Source organism: Homo sapiens, chromosome 2 (genome assembly GCF_000001405.40).
Source record: "Homo sapiens chromosome 2, GRCh38.p14 Primary Assembly".
Classification (NCBI taxonomy): Eukaryota; Metazoa; Chordata; class Mammalia; order Primates; family Hominidae; genus Homo; species Homo sapiens.
The window spans coordinates 231,429,962-231,453,054 of NC_000002.12; the positions used below are offsets into that span (position 1 = coordinate 231,429,962).

The 23,093-nt window shown below is 44.6% G+C and overlaps 2 pseudogenes, besides 2 other annotated features; both read right to left on the minus strand.

Annotated features, from left to right (window-relative positions):
* Nucleotides 1-3,510: 3,510 nt before the first annotated feature.
* Nucleotides 3,511-4,368, minus strand: ZBTB8OSP2 (zinc finger and BTB domain containing 8 opposite strand pseudogene 2; annotated as a pseudogene).
* Nucleotides 7,148-7,460, minus strand: HIGD2AP1 (HIGD2A pseudogene 1; annotated as a pseudogene).
* Nucleotides 22,037-22,331: an enhancer, noted in NCBI's record as "tiled region #5541; K562 Activating DNase matched - State 12:CtcfO". NCBI's record gives its function as "activates a minimal TATA promoter and a strong SV40 promoter by Sharpr-MPRA in K562 cells {active_cell/tissue: K562}" and the evidence as "EXISTENCE:reporter gene assay evidence [ECO:0000049][PMID:27701403]".
* Nucleotides 22,741-22,970: an enhancer, noted in NCBI's record as "active region_17284". NCBI's record gives its function as "activates an Ori minimal core promoter by ATAC-STARR-seq in GM12878 lymphoblastoid cells {active_cell/tissue: GM12878}" and the evidence as "EXISTENCE:reporter gene assay evidence [ECO:0000049][PMID:35858748]".

Sequence of the window (23,093 nt, forward strand, 5' to 3'; positions counted from 1 at the left end):
AGTTGGAGCACTTGATTTTTGTCAAGCACATCTGTGTGAAGAGACCAGCAAGCAGACTTTGTGCGAGGAATAAAGCTTTTTAATCACCTGGGTGCAGGCAGACTGACTCTGAAAAAGCAGTCAGCGAAGGGAGATAAGAAAGGGGCAGCTTTATAGGGTTTGGGTAGGCAGTGGAAAGTTACAGTTAAAGGTGGTTATCTATTGTTAGCAGAGGAGGGGGTCCCAAGGTGCATGGTGTAGAGATCATGGGACTCATTGTCCAGAAGAAGAATGTCCCAGGGTCAATTGATCAGCTGGGGCAGGGCAGGAAAAAGTCATAATGGTAGAATGTCATAAGGTGGATTAATTAGTTAAGGCAGGAACTGGCTGTTTCACTTCTTTGTGATTTTTCGTCTGCTCTAGACTTCTTGGCTCCTGCAGGCCATCTGGACTTATATGTGCAGGTCACAGGGGTTATAATGGCTGACTGTCAGGCCTCTGAGCCCAAGCTAAGCCATCATATCCCCTGTGACCTGCACGTATACATCCAGATGGCCTGAAGCAACTGAAGAACCACAGAAGATGACATTCCACCATTGTGATCTGTTCCTGCCCCACCCTAACTGATCAATTGACCTTATGACAATACACCCTCCCCGCCCTTGCGATCATGTACTTTGTAATATCCTCCCCCACCTTTAAGAAGGTACTTTGTGATATTTTCCCTGCCCTTGAGAATGTACTTTGTGAGATCCACCTCCTGCCCACAAAAAATTGCTCCTAACTCCACCACCTATCCCAAACCTATAAGAACTAATGATAATCCCACCACCCTTTGCTGACTCCTTTTTTGGACTCAGCCCGCCTGCACCCAGGTGAAATAAACAGCCTTGTTGCTCACACAAAGCCTGTTGGTGGACTCTTTTCACATGGACACGCGTGACACTGAGCTTTGGCTCAGAGGCTTGACATTCCGGTCTTTTTATTTATAAAATATACAGTTATAAGAAAAGATAAAGAAAATGTAAGTTTCTTCCGGGGATTATTGGCGTAGGGGCGATGTTTCTCAGGACTGCTTCAAGCGTGACCAGGACTGTGTGGACACCTTAAAGAAAATTTAAGGGTAGAGGGCAGCATAAGAATGGGAATTGAGGTTAAAAGTGAGTATAAAAGTAAAGAATAGGATTTCATCAGGGTGAAAGTATTGGAGTGTGCCCTGCCAGCAAAGATCTTCCATCCACTCCAAAAGGGAGTCAAGAGTGGTGGTTTGGGGATAGCACCAGGAGATATCAGCTGTGATGGTTTGGAGAAAAGGTGTAAACTGTCAGTGTAAACAAGAGCAGGGCATTTATGAGTAGGTGAGAATGGTGAAGAGGAAAATAGCAGGGATGAAAAAGTTTGTGAGGTGCAGTCCAAGAAGGAGGGGGTGACGCCAGGAAGGAGGGGGTGACTGCATAAAGCCTTGTTGTAAAGAGTAGAGTAAGGAAGAAGAGACCTAATCCTGTGAGGCTGGAAGGGCATATTTTCCTTGGTCTAAGAACCATTTGTCTTGAGTGGGGAGGGATTGATAGGTGGAAACTTCAGTGGGAGAGTAAGTAGGAGTGACTGATGAGAAGGAGAAAAACTGGCTGTGAGGGACAGAAATAGGAATACTGGCTGCTTATTTAGCTGTCTTATCAGCATAATTGTTACCTTGAGCAGTGGGGTCTGAGGTCCTTTGATGGCCTTTGCAGGGAATGACTCCAGCTTCTTTTGGAAGTAAAGCGGCCTTAAGAAGAGTATTAAAGAGGCATTAATAATGGAGGACCCTTGCGTAGTGAGGAAACCTCTTTCTGCCCATATAACAGCATGGTGGAGCAGGATATGGAAGGCATATTTAGAGTCAGTATAAATATTGACACACAGTCCCTTTGCAAGACTGAGGGTCCCATTTAAGGCAATGAGTTCAGCTTGCTGAGAGGTAGTGGAGGTGGGCAGCACGGTGTCCTCAATGATAGATGTGGAAGACACTATAGCACAGCCTGCCTTTGCTGGTGAGTGGCGATTAGGCCTGGTGGAACAGCCATCAATGAACCAAAGTGTGATCAGGGTGAGGAACAGGAAAGAAGGAAATATGGGGAAATGAAGTGAATGTCAGGTGGATCAGAGAGATACGGTCATGGGGGTCAGGTGTGGTATCAGGAATATTGTGGGAGGCTGGATTGAAGTCCGGGCCAGGAACAGTGGTAATTGTGGGAGACTCAACGAAGAGTGAGTATAGCTGAAGGAGCCGGGGAGCAGAAAGTAGATGTGTCAGGTGTGCGGAAGAAAATAGATTTTGAAAGTTATGAGAACTGTAGAGAGTGAGTTGAGCAGAGTTTGTGATTTTGAGGTCCTTTATAAAAGGATTAGAGTGGTGGCAGCCGCCGCACACAGACATGAGGGCCAGCCTAAAACAGTAAGGTCAAGTTGTCTTGTCGCCTAGGCTGGAGTGCAGTAGCCTGATCTCAGCTCACTGCAGCCTCTGCTTCCTGGGCTCAAGCAATCCTCCCACCTCAGCCTCCCTAATAGCTGGGATTATAGGCATGCACCACCACATTGGGCCATTTTTTGTATTTTTTATAGAAATGGGGTTTTGCCATGTTGCCCAGGCTGGTCTTGAACTCCTAAGCTCAAATGATATGCCCACTTCGGCCCCCCAAAGTGTTGGGATTACAGGCATGAGCCACCATGCCCAGCCTATATTTTTTAAATTAATGTATAATTTACATCCAAAAAAATGCACAAATCCTAAGCATACAGTTTGATTAGTTTTGACAATTGTGTACATCTTGTGTAATCACCACCCCTTTCAAGACATAGAATATTTTCAACACCCCAGAAAATTCCCTGGGTGCCTTTCCATTCAATCTCTACCCTACCCCTGGAGACACCCACTTTTCTCTTTTATCACTTTCAAAATTTTTTTCTCATTATTATTTATTAATAATTTCTTTTTTTAATTTTTCAAAAATTCTTTTATTCTCTAGTTATACACACATACTCACTTTCAAATAAAATTCTATATTAGAAGGAAAGGTCTCTTTGTAAGGCATAATATTGACTTTTTCTTATGAGAAAACAGGAAATATCATTGGTGCTTTTAAAAAAGTGAAAGCATGAGAGAAAAATCAGGGCTCCATGTAGAGAAGTCTAATTGTTTCTCTACAAAAACCAACTGGAATACAGGATAGCTCTGTCCTACAGCAACCTAAAACACAACCTCCCTTGATGTACATATAGAAAATACATGTCTTGTGGCCGGGCGTGGTGGCTCATGCCTGTAATCCCAGTACTTTGGGAGGCCAAGGTGGGCAGATCACAAGGTCAGGAGATCGAGACCATCCTAGCTAACACGGTGAAACCCCGTCTCTACTAAAAATACAAAAATTAGCAGGGCGTGGTGGTGGGTGCCTATAGTCCCAGCTACTCAGGAGGCTGAGGCAGGAGAATGGTGTGAACCCGGGAGGCGGAGCTTGCAGTAAGCCGAGCTCACGCCACTGCGCTTCAGCCTGGGCTACAGAGCGAGACTCTGTCTCAAAAAAAAAGAAAAAAAAAAAAGAAAGAAAGAAAGAAAATATATGTCTTAACCAACTTGGGGTTATTCTTTTTTCAACCTGGATTCAGCCTCAGGCTGCTGTTGACAACAGTGCTCCTCTCTGGGGCGAGGCTGGAGGGCTTGCATTGCACTGGAAGGGCATGAGGCACCTACTGCCACAGCAGAGAATCAAAGGACCATAACTCTCCCTTGGGGGTTGAAGAATTCTTTAAAGTCTGAATATTTGGGGAACACAGAGCAAGGCTGTGCCCTGATTTTCCCTTTCTGAAAGTCACACTTAAAACATTTCTGTTCTACAAATTTCCATATATCAAAAGATGCTGTAGAATTTAATTCATACTGTCTTCTCAAAAGGAAGAGGAAAAAAAAACAGTTCTTCATAGGAGTCTTTTCTTTTTTGGTGTCTTAAATGCCAATGATCACAAAAACTTCCAGCTTCTCTTCATTATAGACCTGCATTGCTGAATATGTTATTGCCTTGACTTCTGTTCCCTGAGGATGCTTGGACAATGAAAACTCTTCTCCCCACCCAATTGATCATAATTTGAAATTTCTTTGATCAATACTAAGTACTTTCACTTTCCGGGGTATGAAGAATTCATCAGCACTGAACTTATAAAGCCATTCATCCAAAAAGTGAAACAGAAGAGTCTGTAAGTCATTTCCTTGGGTTTCTACTTCTACTGTTGGGAGGGGCTCCACTGTCCCAGTATCTGTCATGTAACCAAACATGGCCATTGCACATTGCTCGAATGCTTCCTCCAGAGTATCTCCCCATGCGTGTAACTGCACATCCGCCGTATGATCCAAATACTCGTACTTCCTATTGACTGGCGGATACTTGGCCTTGATCGCCTTCTGTTCCTCAGTCAAATTGTAATCTCTAACATCTTCCTCTGCCTGCGCCATGACTCTTTATTAATAATTTCAACTTTTAGGCCGGGTGTGGCGGCTCATGCCTGTAAACCCAGCACTTTGGGAGGCTGAGGCAGGCAGATCACCTGAGGTCAGGAGCTCCAGACCAGCCTGGCCAACATGGTGAAACCCTGTCTCTACCAAAAATACAAAAATTAGCCAGGCGTGGTCATGGGCGCCTGTAACCCCAGCTACTGAGGAGGCTGAGCAGGAGAATCGCTTGAACCCAGGAGGCGGGGTCGCAGTGAGCCGAGATTGCACCACTGCACTCCAGCCTGGGCAACAGAGCAGACTCCATCTCAAAAAAAAAAAAAAAAAAAAAAAAAAAAATTTAGTGGCCGGGCACCCTGGCTGACGCCTGTAATCCCAGCACTTTGGGAGACCAAGGTGTGCAGATCATGAGGTCAGAAGTTCGAGACCAGCCTGACCAACATGGCGAAACCCTGTCTCTACTAAAGATACAAAAAATTAGCCGGGTGTGGTGGCGCCCACCTGTAATCCCAGCTACTCGGGAGGCTGAGTCAGGAGAATCACTTGAACCTGAGAGGCGGAGGTTGCAGTGAGCCGAGATTGCCCCATTGCACTCCAGCCTGGGCAACAGGGTGAGACGCCATCTCAAAATAAATAAATATAAATTTTTTAAAAATTCAACTTTTATTTTATATTTGGGGGTACACGTGCAGGTTTGTTACATGGATATGTTGTGTGATGCTGAGGTTTGGGGTACAATTGATGCCATCACCCAGGTAGTGAGCATAGTACCCAATAGTTGGTTTTTCTTTTTTTTTTTTCCCAAGACAGAGTCTTGCTCTGTCATCCAGGCTGTAGTGCAGTGGTGCAATCTCGACTCACTGCAACCTCCGCCTCCCGAGTTCAAGCAATTCTCCTGCCTCAGCCTCCCAAGTAGCTGGGATTACAGGCGCCTGCCACCGCACCTGGCTAGTTTTTGTATTTTTAGTAGAGACAAGGTTTCACCATGTTGGCCAGGCTGGTCTGGAACTCCTGACCTTGTGATCTGCCTGCCTCAGCCTCCCAAAGTTCTGGGATTACAAGCATGAGCCACTGTGCCCGGCCAATAGTTGGTTTTTCAACCCTTTTCCTCCTTCCTTCCCCATCTAGTAGTCCCCAGTGTCTATTGTTGCTGTCTTTATGTCCCTGAGTACCCAATGTTTAGTTCCCACTTACAAGTAAGAACATGTGGTATTTGGTTTTCTGTTCCTTAGTTACTTTGCTTAGAATAATGCCTCCAGCTGCATCCATGTTGCTGTAAAGGACATGATTTCATTCATTTTTTTTTTATGGCTGTATAGTATTGCATGGTGTATATGTACCACATTTTCTTTATCCAGTCCACCATTAATGGACACTGAGGTTGATTCCATGTCTTTGCTATTGTAAATAGCGGTGTGAAAAACATACAAGTGTATGTGTCTTTTTGGTAGAATGATTTATTTTATTTTAATATGTATAATATATTATATACTTAATATATAATTTACAGTGGCTCACACCTGTAATCCTAACATTTTGGGAGGCCGAGGCAGGCAGATCGCCTGAGGTCAGGAGTTCGAGACCAGCCTAATCAACCTACTCGGGAGGCTGAGGTAGGAGAATCGCTAGAATTCGGGAGGTGGAGGTTGCGGTGAGCCGAGATGGCACCATTGCACTCCAGCCTGGGCAACAAGAGCAAAACTCCATCTCAGGAAAAAAAAAAAAAAAAAAAAATATATATATATATATATATATAAACACACACACACACACACACACACATACATATAATTTAACATGGCCGGGCACAATGGCTCACGCCTGTTATCCCAGCACTTTGAGAGGCCGAGGCGGGCAGATCACTTGAGGCCAAGAGTTCAAGACCAGCCTGGCCAACATGGTGAAACCCTGTCTCTACTAAAAATACAAAAAAAGTGAGCCAGACTTGGTGGCCTGTAATCCCAGGTACTCGGGAGGCTGAAGCATGAGAATCGCTTGAACCTGGAAGGCAGAGGTTGCAGTGAGCCAAGATCGCGCCATTGCACTACAGCCTGGGTGACAGAGTGAGACTCCATTTCAAATAATAATAATAATTTAATATATTATATATATTTATATAGGCCAGACAAAGTGGCTTATTCCTGTCATCCCAGTGCTTTGGGAGGCCAAGGCAGGTGGATCACTTGAGATCAGCAGTTCGAGACCAGCCTGGCCGACATGGCGAAACCCCATATCTACTAAAAATACAAAAATCAGCTGGGCATGGTGGGGGCCGCCTGTAATCCCAGATACTTGGGAGGCTGAGGCATGAAAATAGCTTGAACCCAGGAGGTGGAGGTTGCAGTGAGCTGAGATCACACCACTGCACTCCAGCCTGGGTGACAGAGTGACTCTGTCTCAAAAATAATAACTTTATATATATTTTATAAGTGGATTAGAGTTTATTAAGCAGGGGAGTGGAAGAGATGTGGCACAAATAGAGGTATGTAACATTCAAACAACAGAATCTGGGATTTTTGAAAAAGTATTTTAGTTGCGGGTACACAAAGGATCACTTCCACCCCCAACGACACTGGGGCCTCTGAAAGGGGAGGAAGGACTAAGTCCCACGGCAGGGCCAGTGGTTGCTCCTGGGTTTTGGAATGATCTCTGCAGAGCTTTCAAGGCCAGACCATGGGCTCAGGATTGAGACTTCATAGCAGTTGTGACTAGACCCAGCAAGATGGCTGCGACTGTGAAGCCCTGGACAGCGATCCGGGTGCGTGTCATGAGCTGAGAGCGCTGACTGTGGCCCTGGTGGAAGCAGTAGAGGCCGTAGGTGAGGGCGGTCGCCATGCCTAGGCAACCTGGGTACCATGTGGTTCTCGCGGGTCTTGTGAAGGAATTTTTCCTTGAAACTCTCTGGATTGCTGTAAACAGTGGAGCTAAACCCCTAAATGACTGGGGGCTTCCATGGTTCAAAGGGGACCTCTGGAGTCACAGGGCCAGGAGCCGCCATGTCCAGGCCACAGCTACAGGAGAAAATCGGGACTCCGAGCTCTGCCTCCTGGTGAAGGTCAGAAAAAGAAAAATATATTTTATGTATATTTACATATATTTCTTTTAATAATATATATACCCAGGAATGGATTGCTGGATCGAATGGTAGTTCTGCTTTAAGTACTTTTAGAAATCTCCAAACCAGCCGGGCGCAGTGGCTTATGCCTGTAAACCCAACGCTTTGGGAGGCTGAGGCATGTGGATCACCTGAGGTCAGGAGTTCGAGACCAGCCTGGGCAATATTGCAAAACCCCATCTCTACTAAAAATTAGCTGGACGTGGTGGTGTGCACCTGTAATCCCAGCTACTCGGGAGGCTGAGGCAGGAGAATTGCCTGAACCCGGGAGGCAGAGGCTGCAATGAGCCGAGATCGAGCCACTGCACTCCAGCCTGGGCAACAAGAGTGAAACTCCGTCTCAAAAAAAAAAAAAAGAAATCTCCAAACTGCTTTCCACAGTGGCTGGACTAGTTTACATTCCCACCAACAGCATATAAGTGTTTTCTTTTCTCCGCAGCCTTGACAGCATCTGTTGTTTTTTGACTTTTTAGGAATAGCCATTTTGACTGGTGTGAGATGTTATCTCATTGTGGTTTGTTTTTGTTTTTGTTTTGAGAGTCCCGCTTTGTTGTCCAGGCTGGAGTGCAGTGGTCCCATCTCAGCTCACTGCAACCTCTGCCTCCCAGGTTCAAGTGATTCTCACACCTCAGCCTCCCATGTAGCTGGGATTACAGGCATGAGCCACCATACCTGGCTAATTTTGTATTTTTAGTAGAGATGGCGTTTTGCTATGTTGGCCAGGCTGGTCTCAAACTCCTGACCTCAAGTGATCCACCCATCTCGGCCTCCCAAAGTGCTGGGATTACAGGTGTGACCCACTGCACCTGGCCCAGACCCTGATTGTGGTTTTGATTTGCATTTCTCTGATGACTAGTGATGTTGAGCATTTCTTCATGTTTTTTGGCCACTCTTGTCTTATTTATTTGTTTGTTTGTTTGTTTGTTTTTTTATTTTTTGAGACGGAGTTATGTTCTTGTTGCTTAGCCTGGAGTACAATGGCATGACCTTGGCTCACCGAAACCTCTGCCTCCCGGATTCAAGCGATTCTCCTGCCTCAGCCTCCCAAGTAGCTGGGATTACAGGCATGCACCACCACACCTGGCTAATTTTTGTATTTTTAGTAGAGACGGGTTTCTCCATGTTGCTCAGGCTGGTCTCGAACTCCCAACCTCAGGTGATCCACCCGCCTCAGCCTCCCAAAGTGCTGGGATTACAGGCATGAGCCACTGCACCCAGCCACTCTTGTCTTATTTTGAGAAGTGTCTGTTCGTGTATTTGTCCACTTTTTAATGGAGTTATTTGTTTTTTGTTTGTTGAATTCTTTAAGTTCCTTATAGATTCCGGATATTAGACCTTTGTCGACTGCATGGTTTGCAAATATTTTCTCCCATTCTGTAGGTTTTCTGTTTACTCTGACAACCACTTTTCTGATTTCTATGACCAGTGATTAGTGTTCTTGTTAGTTCTAGATTTTGTCACTCTACATAAGATTTTTGAGTCATCCACGTTGTTGAATGAATAAGTAGGTTTTTAAAAATTGTTAAGTAGGCTGGGTGCAGGGGCTCGTGCCTTTAATTCCAGCACTTTGGAAGGCCAAAGCAGGAGGATCACTTGAGCACCAGGAGTTTGAAACCAGCCTGGGCAACATAGGGAGACTCCGTCTCTAAAAAAACTTAAAAATTAGCTGGATGTGGTGGCGTGCACCTGTGTTCCCAGCTACTTGGGAGGCTGAGGTGGGAGGATTGCTTGAGCCCAGGAGGTAGATGCTGCAGTCAGCTGATATCACACCACTGCACTCCAGCCTTGGCAACAGAGGGAGACCCTGTCTCAAAAAAACAAAAATGTGCTAAGTGATGTTCCATTGCCTTAATATACTACAGCTTGTTTATCCATTCTCCTCCTGATGGACATTTGAGTTCTTTCCAGTTTTGGGCTATTATGAATAAAGCTGCTACAAACATTGTTACACAAGTCTTTTTGTGGACATATGTTTTCACTTCTCTTGAGAAAATATTTAGGAGTGGAATTGAGTCATAAGAGTAGGTATACATTTAAGTTTATACTCTTATAAACTGTCAGAGTTGGTGTGTGTTTAACTTTATAACAAATGGTCAAACACTTTTCCAAAATGGCTGAGCCGCTACAGTAGGTAGCTAGTCAGGTATGAGCAGGCCAGGAGAAGGCTCCCCACACACACTAGGAGTGTCGGGCAACCATCAGGTGATGGTCAGGTGGTTGTTAACTGTCTCTCTAAAGTAATAATTGATCACAGCCAGTGCAGGGAAAGGCCGTCTCTTAATAGATGGAAAACACCTGAAATTGGTGACCAGCAGCTTTCCAATAAGATCCAAGGAATGGGGAGAACAAGACTCCGGAAGTAGGCCAATGTGCAAAACCCCAAGTCGAGACGTCGAGCTGTGCACTAGGGTCTCTTGAGTCGCCCGCTTGGCCCTCTTCCAAGTGTACTTTCCTTCCTTTCCTTACTGCTCTAAAGCTTTTTAGTAACTCACTCCTGTTCTAAAACTTGCCTTGATCTCTCTCCTTATGCCTTACGGCCCTCAGTCGAATTCTTTCTTCTGAGAAGGCAAGAACGGAGGTCGCCGCAGACTCATACAGGTAACTACCACCACTAACAGTGCCATTTCATATTCTAACAGCAATATATGAGAGTTCTCGTTGTTTACACCCTTGTCAACATTCGGCATTGTCAGTGTTGTTAATTTGAACTATTTGGTGGGTGCATGTTGGTATCTCATTGTGGCTTTAATTTGTATTTCTCTGGTGACTAATGATGTTGAATGCCTTTTCTTTTTTTCTTCTTTGAGACGAAGTCTCGCTCTGTCACCGAGGCTGGAGTGCAGTGGCGCCATCTTGGCTGCTTGCAACCTCCACCTCCCTGGTTCAAGCAATTCCCCTGCCTCAGCCTCCCAAGTAGCTGGGATTACAGGCACACGCCACCACGCCAGGCTAATTTTTTTGTATTTTTAGTACAGACAGGGTTTCGCCATGTTAGCCAGGCTAGTCTCAGACTCCTGACCTCAGGCAGTCTGCCCACCTCAGCCTCCCAAAGTGCTGGAATTACAGGCGTGAGCCACCACTCCTGGTCATTGAATGCCTTTTCATGTGCTCTTTTCTTTTTTCTTTTCTTTCTTTCCTTTATTTCTTTTTTCTTTTTTTTTGACTGAGTCTCGCTCTGTTGCCCAGACTGGAGTGAAGTGGCGTGATCTCAGCTCACCACAACCTCCACCTTCCAGGTTCAAGCAATTCTCCTGCCTCAGCCTCCCAAGTAGCTGAGATTACAGGCATGCACCACCATGCCCGGCTAATTTTTGTATTTTTAGTAGAGATGGGATTTCACCATGTTGGCCAGGCTGGTCTCAAACTCCTAACCTTAGGTGATCTGCCCGCCTGGCCTCCCAAAGTGCTGGGATTACAGACATGAGCCACCACACCCAGCTGGTATTTTTATTTTATTTTATTTATTGAGATGGAGTTTCACTCTTGTGGCCCAGGCTGGAGTGCAATGGCACGATCTCAGCTCACCGCAACCTCCACCTCCCAGGTTCAAGCAATTTTCCTGCCTCAGCCTCCCAAGTAGCTGGGATTACAGGCATGCACCACCATACCCGGCCTATTTTGTATTTTTAGTAGAGATGGGGTTTTACCGTGTTGGTCAGGCTGATCTCCAACTCCCGACCTCAGGTGATCTGCCTGCCTCGGCTTCCCAAAGTGCTGGGATTACAGGCATGAGCCACCGTGACCGGTCTAATTTTTGTATTTTTAGTAGAGACGGGGTTTCACTGTGTTGGCCAGGCTGGTCTCAAACTCCTGACCTCGTGTTCCATCTGCCTCAGCCTCCCAAAGTGCTGGGATTACAGGTGTGAGCCACCATACCTGGCCTCTTTTTTAATTGATTAATTAATTTTTTAAAAAGAGATGAGGTCTTGCTCTGTTGTCCAAGCTGGTCTTGAACTCCTGGGCTCAAGCAATCCTCCTGCCTCGGCCTCCTCCCCAAGTGCTGGGATTACAGGTGTGGGCCACTGTACCTGGCCTTCTGTGCTTTTTTTTGCTGTCCAGATATCTTCTTTTATAAAGTATCTGTTCAAGCCTTTAGTCCATTTTGTTATCAATTGTCTTTTTATTATGGATTAGTAATTCTTTATATATTATGATACAAATGCTTTGTCAAAAATAGGTATTGGGCCAGCCGAGGTGGCTCATGCCTGTAATCCCAGCACTTTGGGAGGCTGAGGCAGGCAGATCACTTGAGTTCAGGAGTTTGAGACCAGCCTGGCCTCAAACTGTGTTTGAGACACAGTAAAACCCCGTCTCTACCAAAAATACAAAAAAAACTAGCCGGGCGTGGTGGCACACGCCTGTAATCCCAGCTATTGGGGAGGCTGAGGCAGGAGAATCGCTTGAACCCAGGAGGCGGAGGTTGTAGTGAGATCATGCCACTGCACTCTATCCTGAAAAAGACTCTGTCTCAAAAGAAAAAAAAGTATTGCATTGCATTGTAAAGATTTTCTCCCAACCTGTGGCTTGTCTCTTCATTTTCTCAACAGTGTCTTCTAATGAGCAGACATTTTAGTTCTGATGAGTCCAGTTTATCTTTTTTGTCTCATTTATGGTTAATGCCTTTTGTATCCTCTCTAAGACATCTTTCCCTACCCTTAATCATAAAGATATTCTTCTTTGCTTCTAAAAGCTTTATGATTTTAGGCTTTGTATTTATATCTATAACCTGTCTCAAATTAATTCTTGTATATAATATGAAGTGAAAGACAAAGCTCTTTTTTTTTTCTTTTTTCTTTTCTTTTTTTTGAGATAGAGTCTCACTGTCACCCAGGCTGGAGTGCAATGTCTCGATCTCTGCTCACTGCAACCTCTGCCTCCCAGGTTCAAGCGATTCTCCTGCCTCAACCTCCTGAGTAGCTTGGATTACAGGCATGCCCCACCATGCCCAGCTAATTTTTGTATTTTTGGTAGACATGGGGTTTCACCATACTGGCTAGGCTGGTCTCGAACTCCTGACCTCAACTGATCCACCTGCCTGGGCCTTCTAAAGTGCTGGGATTACAGGTGTGAGCCACTGAGGCTGGCCAAGAATACCTTTTTTTTTTTTTTTTGGTCTCTGTCGCCCAGGCTGGAGTGCAGTGGTGTGATCCTAGCTCACTGCAGCCTCGACTTCTTGGGCTCAAGCAGTCCTCCTGCCCAGCTTCCCGAGTAGCTAGGACTTTAGGTGCACGCCACTATGCCCCACTAATTTTATTTTTTGTAGAAATGGAGTCTCCCTATGTTGCACAGGCTGGTCTCAAACCCCTGGGCTCAAGCCTAACAAAGTGCCAGGATTATAGGTTGGAGCCACTGCACTCAGCCCATATGAATATCCAGTTTTCAAAACACTATTTGATGAAAAGACTCTTTTCCCATTGAATACCTGCGTACCTTTATTAAAAATAAATTAACTATATATATGAGGAATGGTTTATTGACTTTCTAGTCTGTGTCACTGATGTATATATTTTCCCTATAACAATACCACGCTATTTTTTATTACTGTAGCTTTATATTAAACCTTAAAATCATTTAGTATAAGTCCTCCAACTTTGTTTCTTTTACTTTTTAAGATTGTTTTGAGCCAGGCACAGTGGCTCACACCTGTAATCTCAGCATTTTGGGAGGCCGAGGCGAGCAGATCACTTGAGCCCGGGAGTTTGAGACCAGCTGGGGCAACTTGGCAAAACCCTGTCTCTACAAAAAAATACAAAAATCAGCCAGGTGTGGTGTGTGCCTGTATTCCCAGCAACTTGGGAGGCTGAGGCAGGAGGATCACTTGAGTCTAAAGAGGTCGACGTTGCAGTGAGCCAAGATCATGCCACTGCACTCCAGCCTGGGCAACCAAGCGAGGCCCTGTCTCAAAAAAAAAAAAAAAAAAAAGATTGTTTTGGCTATTCTAGTGTTTTGCATTTCTATATAAGTTTTCAAATCATCTTGTCAAGTTCTTTTTGTTTTTGTTTTTGTTTTTTTGAGACGGAGTCTCACTCTGTCGCCCAGACTGGAGTGCAGTGGCAGGATCTCGGCTCACTGCAACCTCCCCCTCCTGGGTTCAAGCAATTCTCCTGACTCAGCTCCCGAATAGCTGGGACTACAGGCACCCACCACCATGCCTGGCTAATTTTTGTATTTTTAGTAAAGATGGGGTTTCACCATGTTGGCCAGGCTGGTCTCGAACTCCAGACCTTGTGATCCGCCCACCTCGGCCTCCAAAAGTGCTGGGATTACAGGTGTGAGCCACCGTGCCCGGCCCATCTTGTCAATTTCTATTCAAAGCTTTTCTGAGATTATGTTGATTGGGTTGAATCTGTAAATAAGCTTGGAGAGAACTGACACGTTAACAATATTAAGTCTTTTAATTTACAAACATGGTGTATCTCTCCAGTTATTTAGTCAATTTCCCTCGACAATGCCCTGCTCACCTTGTATTAAATCTATTCCTCAGTATTTTGTTTTTCTTAGTGAAATTACAATAATTTAAAAATTTTCTATTTTCCAGTCATTTGCTGTTTGGTATATATGTGAAACCAATTTTTACATATTGATTTTATGTCCTTGAAACCTTGGTACTTTTGCTTATTATGACAGTTTTTTGTAGATTCTCAATGATTTTTCTAAATATGTAATCATATTATCTATGAATAATGACTGTTTTAGTTCTTTCTTCCCAATCTTTACACTTTTTATTTCTTTTCCTTGCCTTGTTGTACTGGACTTCCAACAGTGTTACTTGGAAATAGTGAAAACAGACACCCTTGCCTTGTTCATGATCTTAGTGGGAGACTGTTCAATATTTTACTAGTAAGTGTGATATTAGCCTTAGGTTTTTCATAGGTGTTCTTTATCAGTCTGTTAAAATTTTGTTGAGTTTTGTTTATCACAACTGTTAATTGTTGAAGTTTGACAAATGCTTTCTCTACTTTTATTTGGACAATTGTATTATTTTTGTCCTTTAATTCTATAATATGGTGAATTATTAGGTTGGTGGAAAAGTAATTGCTGTTTTGCCAATGAAATAATGGCAAAAACTGCAATTACATAATACATTGATTTTTCAAATGTTAACTAAACTTGAATTGAGACTATACCCTACTTGATCATGATGATCATCATTTTTATATATGTCTTGATTCAGTTTAATTTTTTTTTGTTTTTGAGACAAAGTCTTGCTCTTGTCGCCCAGGCTGGAGTGCAATGGCACAGTCTCTGCTCACTGCAACCTCCGCCTCCCAGGTTCAAGCAATTCTCTTGCCTCAGCCTCCTGAGTAGCTGGGATTAACAGGCGCCTGCCACCACACCCGGCTAATTTTTGTATTTTTAGTAGAGATGGAGTTTCACCATGTTGGCCAGGCTGGTCTCAAACTGACCTTAGGCGACCTGCCCACCTCAGCCTCCCAAAGTGCTGGGATTACAGGCATGAGCCATTGTACCCAGCCAGTAATTTTTTTTTTTAGAGATGGGGTTTTGCTCTGTTGCCCAGGCTGCAGTGCAGTGGCATGATCATCGCTTAGTGCAGCCTCAACCTGCTAGGCTCAAACAATCCTCCCACCTCAGCCTCCAGAGTAGCCGGGACTACAGGTGCATCACCACATCTGGCTAATTTTTTTTCTTTTTTCTTTTTTTTTTTTTTTTTGAGACATCTCACTCTTGTCCCCCAGGCTGGAGTGCAATGGTGCAATCTCGGCTCACTGCAACCTCCACCTCCTGGGTTCAAGTGATTTTCCTGCCTCAACCTCCCAAGTAGTTGGTATTACAGTCACCTGCCACCACACCCGGCTAATTTTTGTATTTTAAGTAGAGATGGGGTTTCACCATGTTGGCCAGGCTGGCCTCGAACTCCTGACCTCAGGTGATCCGCTCACCTCAGCCTCCCAAAGTGCTGGGATTACAGACATGAGCCACTGCACCCGACCACATCTGGCTAATTTTTTAAAATTTTTTTGTAAAGACGGGGGTCTTGCTATTTTGCCAAGGCTGGTCTCAAACTGCTAGACTTAAGCAATCCTCCTGCTTCGGCCTCCTAAAGTGCTAGGATTACGGGCATGAGCCACCATGCCCAGCCTGCTAATATTTTATTTTATTTTATTTATTGCCACCATGCCCAGCCTGCTAATATTTTATTTTATTTTATTTTATTTTATTTATTGCCACCATGCCCAGCCTGCTAATATTTTATTGTATTTACTTTTTGAGATGGAGTCTCGCTCTGTGGCCCAGGCTGGAGTTCAGTGGCACGATCTTGGCTCACTGCAACCTCTGCCTCCCGGGTTCAAGCGATTCTCTTGCCTCAGCCTCCTGAGTAGCTGGGATTGCAGGTGTGTACCACCATACCCTGCTAATTTTTGTATATTTAGTAGAGATGTGGTTTCACCATATTGGTCAGGCTGATCTTGAACTCCTAGCTTCATGATCTGCCCACCTTGGCCTCCCAAACTACTGGGATTACAGGCGTGAGCCACCGTGCCTGGCCCCAGCTTGCTAATATATTTTTTAAATTTTTATGTTTATGTTTCATGAGGAATATTGGTCTTTTTTTGTAATGTCCTTGTCATATTTTGGTATCAGCACTCATAAAACAAATTGGAAAAAGTTTTCTTTTCTTCTCCTTTCTGAAATATAGTTTGTGTAAGATTGGTATTATTTCTTCTTTCAACATTTTTTAGAATTTACTCATAAAGCCATCTGGGCCTGGAGTTTTCTCTGTGGAAAGTTTAAATGATTAATTCAATTTCATCAGTACATGTAGGATTATTCATATTTTCCATTTCTTCTTGTGTACGTTTTGGAAACTTATGTTTTCAAAGAATTTGCTCATTTTATCTAAGTTGTTAAATTTTGTGAAGTAAAGCTATTCACAATATTCCTTCATTATATTGAATATCTGGATGGGGTATGGTGGCTCACACCTGTAATCCCAGTACTTTGGGAGGATAAGGAGGGAGGATTACTTGAGGCTAGAAGTTCAAGACCAGCCTGGGCAACATAACAAGACTCCATTCCTACAAAAATTAAAAAAAAAAAATTTTTTTTAATTAGCCAGGCATGGTGGCATGCACCTGTGGTTTCAGCCACTTGAGAGGCTGAGGCAGGAGGATCGCTTGAGCCCTGGAGTTCCAGGCTGCAGCGAGCTACAGTCATGCCACTGCACTCCAGCCTGGGCAGTGGACAACAGAGCAAGACCCTGTCTCTTAAAAAAATAATAATAATAATAATAATCAGTACAATCTATAATGTGATGATACCCCTTCTTTCATTCCTGATAATGGCTATTTGTGTTTTGTCTTCTTTTTTTCTTGATCAGTCTTGCTAGAGGACTATCAATTTTATCTTATTTATCCTTTCAGTGAACTGATTTTTGTCTTGATTTTTTTACATCATTAATTGTTATTTTTATTATTTCCTTTTCCTATGTATTTCTTCTTTCTTTTTTACATGCTTAAGCTGGAAACAGACAGTTAACTTTAAAACTCTTTTTCTTTTCTAAAGTATTTTAAGTTATAAATTTCCATCTAAGAACTGCTTTAGCTGCATCCCAAAATGTGTTTTTATTGTCATTCATTTTGAAATAGTATCTAATTTCTCCCGTGATTTCTACTTTGATCCATTCAGAAGTGTTTTTCAGAAATGTAATTAATATACAAATGTTTAGGAGTATTCTAGGTATCTTATTATTCATTTCTAATTTATTTCTGTTATATCAGATTGTATATTTTCCAATCCTTTGAAATTTCTTGAGATTTGTTTTGGAGCCTAGAATATTTTGGTGAATGTTTTATGTGCACGTGAAAAGAAGATGTGTTTTTCAATAGCTAGACCTAAATGACCAACAGTTTTCAATTCTTCTATATCATTATTGATGTTTGTCTATTTACTTTATCTGTTACTAAATGAGGGGTGTTAAAATCTCCAACTGTGATTGAAAATTTGTCCATTTCTCTTTATCAATTTTTTGCTTCACAGGTTATAAAACTCTGTTATTGTTTGCATGCACATTTAAGATTGCTATGTCTTTCTAGTAAATTTACCTTTTTTTCATTATGAAATGTTGCTCTGGGCCGGGCGCAGTGGCTCACGCCTGTAATCCTAGCACTTTGGGAAGCCGAGGCAGGCGGATCACGAGGTCAGGAGATTGAGACCATCCTGGCTAACATGGTGAAAACCCGTCTGTACTAAAAATACAAAAAATTAACTGGGTGTGGTGGCGGGCGCCTGTAGTCCCAGCTACTCAGGAGGCTGAGACAGGAGAATCGCTTGAACCTAGGAGATGGAGGTTGCAGTGAGCCACTGCACTCCAGCCTGGGTGACAGCAAGACTCCGTCTCAGAAAGAAAGGTTGCTCTGGCCAGGTGTGGTGGCTCACACCAATAATCCCAGCACTTTGGGAGTCTGAGGCGGGAGATCACTTGAGCCCAGGCGTTTGAGACCAGCCTGGGCAACATAGCAAGACCCTGTCTCTATTAAAGAAAAAATTAAAAGAAAAAAGGAATTTGAAGGCAATTTCTATGCAGATTTTATGGTTTCCTCCTCTGTGTCTCCCTCATTTTCATTATTTCCCAAAATTTCCGACTCACACTCCAACCTGATTCCTCAGCACAGTAAGACATCCACTTTCTGCTCTATTCCCCCGGAGTCACGCAAGTTGGGTGATGCCCTCAGGGGAAAAGCTGGTTAAACATGGGTCTCATCCAGTGTGCTTCCCTTCTTTCCAGGATCGATACCATCTTCCCTGGGTTGCTCCAGTTTTCTATCTGGTATTATTGGAAGACAAATCAACTTTAGAAGTTGATCTTTAAATATTTCGCCCAGGGCCTGGTGCGATGGTTAATGCCTGTAATCCCAGCACTTTGGGAGGCTGAGGCAGGCGAATCACCTGAGGTCAGGAGTTTGAGACAGACTCGCCAGCATGATAAGACCTTGTCTCTACTAAAAGTACAAAAAATTAGCCAGGCGTGGTGGCACATGCCTGTAGTCCCAGCTACTCAGGAGGCTGAGGTAGGAGAATTGCTTGAACCTGGGCGGTAGAGGTTGCCGTGAGCTGAGATTGTGCCACTGCACTTCAGCCTGGGTGACAGAGAGAGACTCCATCTTCAAAAATAAAAATTAAAAAATAAAAAACTAAAAATAAAATAAATAAATAGTTTACCCAGAGTTTTTTTGTTTTGTTTTTTTTGAGACAGGCCTCCCTCTGTTGCCCAGGCTAGAGCGTAGTGGTGCAATCACAGCTCACTGCAGCCTCAACCTCCCCAGTGGCTCAGGTGATCCTCCCACTTTAGTCTCCCTAGTAGCTGGGACTATAAGAGCGTGACACCATGCCTGGCTAATTTTTTTTTTTTTTTTTTTTTTTATATATATAAGGTCTTGCTCTGTTGCCCAGGCTGGAGTACAGTGGTGCAATCTAGGCTCACTGCAACCTCTGCCTCCCAGGTTCCAGCGATTCTCCTGCCTCGGCTTCCCGAGTAACTGGGCCTACAAGCATACGCCACCATGCCCGGTTAATTTTTGTATTTTTAGTAGAGGTGAGGTTTCACCATGTTGACCAGGTTCGTCTTGAACTCCTGACCTCAGGTAATCCGCCCGCCTTGGCCTCCCAAAGTGCTGGGATTACAGGTGTGAGCCACTGCGCCAGGCCCGCCTGGCTAATTTTTGTATTTTTTGTAGAGACAGAGTTTCACCATGTTACCCAGGCTGGTATCAAACTCGGGGGCTCAAGCAATCCGCAGATCTTGGCCTCCCAAAGTGCTAGGATTACAGGTATAAGCCACCTGTCTGGCCTAACCAGAGTTTATAATTGTCATCAACAGAAGGATTACTCTGTTATAAGCCACTTCATCACTACCAGAACCAAACTACCTGTGTTTTCAATGTAAATAAATCTTACCTAATCCATTAATGAACATATCTATAATTCTATCACATAAGTTGTGCTCAAATATTTTAATAACTAATTTCAATATAATTGGTCTCCCTTGTATTCCTTTTATATTTTAAAGTGATTTAGAAAATATTATTCTGAAAAGGGTTCAAAGGCTTCACCAGACTCCCAAAAGAATCCTTGGTACAAAAACATTAAGAATTTAAACTGGATGCAGTGGTATGTGCCTGTAGTCAGCTATTGGGGAGGCTAAAGTGGGATCACTTGAGCCCAGGAGTTCAAGGCCGTACTGTGCTATGATAACATCTTTGTACTCTAGCCTGGGCAACAAAGTGAGACCTCATCTCATTTTAAAAAATAATAAAGTAAAAATAACTTTAAAAATATGTTGGCCAGGTGCAGTGGCTCACACCTGTAATCCTAACACTTGGGGAGGCCAAGACGGGAGGACTGCTTGAGCCCAGAAGTTTGAGACCAGCCTGGGTAATGCAGTGAGACACTGTCTCTATAAAAACATTTTTTTTTTTTTAATTAGCCAGGCGTGGTGGTGCACATATGTAATCCCCACCACTAAGCTACTCGAGAGACTGAGGTAGGAGGATTGCTTGAGCTCGGGAGGCCAAGGCTGCAGTGAGCCATGATTGTGCCACTGCACTCCAGCCTGGGCCACAGAGTGAGACCTTATATGTAAAAAAATAAAAAATTTTAAAAATAAAAGTATCTTTATCTTTATTTATTTATTTATTTTTGAGACGGAGTCTTGCTCTGTTGCCCAGGCTGGAGTGCAGTGGCGTGATCTCGGCTCACTGCAACCTCCGCCTCCTGGGTTCATGCCATTTCTCCTGCCTCAGCCTCCCGAGCAGCTGGGACTACAGGCGCCCGCCACCACGCCCAGCTAATTTTTTGTATTTTTAGTAGAGACGGGGTTTCACTGTGTTGGCCAGGATGGTCTCGATCTCCTGACCTCGTGATCCACCCGCCTCGGCCTCCCAAAGTCCTGGGATTACAGGTGTGAGCCACCGCGCCCGGCCTAAAAGTATCTTTAAAAATAAAACTCCTGGCCTAATGATCCCTTCCTGTTGCTACCTGACCTTACAGTAAGTTGGGGGGAAGGTGTTTCCCCTGGGAAACTTGCTGAGCACCTACTATGTGTTAGCCTCTCTTCTAGGCTCGGAACAGCACAGTGAACAAAACAAAGTCCCCCCTGTCAGAGGGAGCATGCATTTCTTTTCATGTTTCCATGTACGGGGATCAGAAATAGGGTAACCCTCCTGGCCTCTTACTCCCCCCATTACTGGGTTGGTGACCTGATCAGTGGGGACAGCCATTTGTTCCCATCTATGAATTGGATGGAACTGGGCTTTTAAATGGCTGCAATCCTTGAGGATTTGTTCTTTTCCTTCCTCTCCACTTCAACCCTTAGTGTGTCTAAGTTCTTTTTTTCTTTTTTTTTTTTTGGTAGAGACACGTGTCCGGCTATGTTGCTCAGACTGGTCTCTAACTCCTGAGCTCATGCTGTCTTCCCACCTCAGCCTCCCACAGTGCTAGGTCACTGCCTAAATTCCCTTTTTTTTTTTTTTTTTTTTTTTTTGAAATAGAGTCTCGCTCTGTCTGCCTCCCAGGCTAGAGTGCAGTGGCGCGATCTCAGCTCACTGCAAGCTCCGCCTCCTGGGTTCACGCCATTCTCCTGCCTTAGCCTCCCAAGCAGCTGGGACTACAGGCGCCCGCCACCACGCCCAGCTAATTTTTTGTATTTTTAGTAGAGATGGGGTTTCACCGTGTTAGCCAGGATGGTCTCCATCTCCTGACCTCGTGATTCGCCCGCCTCGGACTCCCAAAGTGCTGGGATTACAGGCGTGAGCCACTGCACCCGGCCCCCTTTTTTTTTTTTTTTTTTTTGAGACAGAGTCTTGCTCTGTTGCCCAGGCTGGAGTGCAGTGGCACAATCTCGGCTTACTTCAACCTCCTAGGTTCAAGTGATTCTCATGCCTCAGCCTCTGGAGTAGCTGAGATTATTGGCGCCTGCCACCACACCTGGCTAATTTTTGTATTTTTAGTAGAGACAGGGTTTTGCCATGTTGGTCAGGCTGGTCTCGAACTCCTGACTTCAGGTCATCCACCCACCTTGGCCTCCCAAAGTGCTGGGATTACAGGCGTGAGCCACCATGCCTGGCCCTACTGCCTAAATTCTTAGCGGTGGAGGAGTAGTTTCGGCAGGAAGGAGGGATAGTCTGTTAGATGCTGCAGGGAAGTAGGTGAACCTAGGGAAGGCTGACTCCTGGCTTTGGCACCTGGGGGAAGGGGGACAGAAGCCACACTTCGAGAAGGCTAGAGTATGCTCATCCTGAAAGTTTGGCAATGAAGGGAAGAGACAACTGTGTGAGGTGGCAGGTCAGGAGACAGTCTTTTGGGGTGAGAAAAGCTTTGGTATTTTTTTTAAGCCTGATGAGAGACAGTGAGACACACAAAGATAACGGGGTAACTCTCAGAGAAAGGGCACAGGACATGCTTCCAAATAATCTTAGCTGTAGGATCCAATTGGAAACCCCTTTTGCAGGGGTTGTGCAGCATCACTCAAGGTGGGAGACTCCCTGGGCCTATCCACTGGTCTGGAATCTGAGGCTGAGTTTGGAGTTAGAAGGCCTGCCATCAGCTCATCACCAGGCCTCCCTCCGGCAGAGGTTTCCACATCCTTGTGGACTTATGCTGCCACCTGCTGGAAACATGACAAATGTGGCGACAACCATTTGCAGAAGAAAACTATCACTTTTCTAAAATGGCTCCAAACACCTCCAAATCAGAAACTAGAGACAGGTACTAGGGAAGACTGGGAATTTGACTTCAGTCCCTAATCGCAAGCCTCAATGTCTCTTTCTGGCCCTGCAGGGTAACCCACCTTACATCTTTTTTTTTTTTTTTTTTTTTGAGACAGTGTTGTCGCCCAGGCTGGAGTGCGATGGCGCGATCTCGGCTCACTGCAGCCTCTGCCTCCTGGGTTCAAGCAATTCTCCTGCCTCAGCCTCTCAAGTAGCTGGGATTACAGGCGCCCACTTACCATGCCCAGCTAATTTTTGTATTTTTAGTAGAGATGGGGTTTCACCATGTTGGCCAGGCTGGTCTCAAACTCCAAACCTCAGGTGATCCACCCACCTTGGCCTCCCAAAGTGCTGGGCTTACAGGCCTGAGCCACCGCACCCGGCCTTCATCTTCATTCAACAGGAAATCAGCACATATGATTAGAACAAGCACTGAGAAATCACAGGACTGGACCGTCTCTGCTTTCCTTCTCTTAAGGAATGGTAAAGAAAAAGAATCAGGAGACAGGAACGTTAGTGTCCTGCCCTTGTCTTGCCTCACAGCAGGTTAGTAGAGGGGCTGAGGGAAAAGCCCAGCTGCTGAGCACACAGTTGCCCAGCAACTGCCCCATTATTAACAGCTACTTGATAGAAATGCAAGCCCCACCTTGGGAGCCATGGGCTCTTCCTGCAATTCAAGCCCTATCAAAATCGCACTCCCATAGGCTCTCCAAGTATGGAAAAAGCAGTGACTGTGCTGCACCAGAGCCACCAGCAATCCCAGCCCTTATTCGTAGATGGCCACACGGCA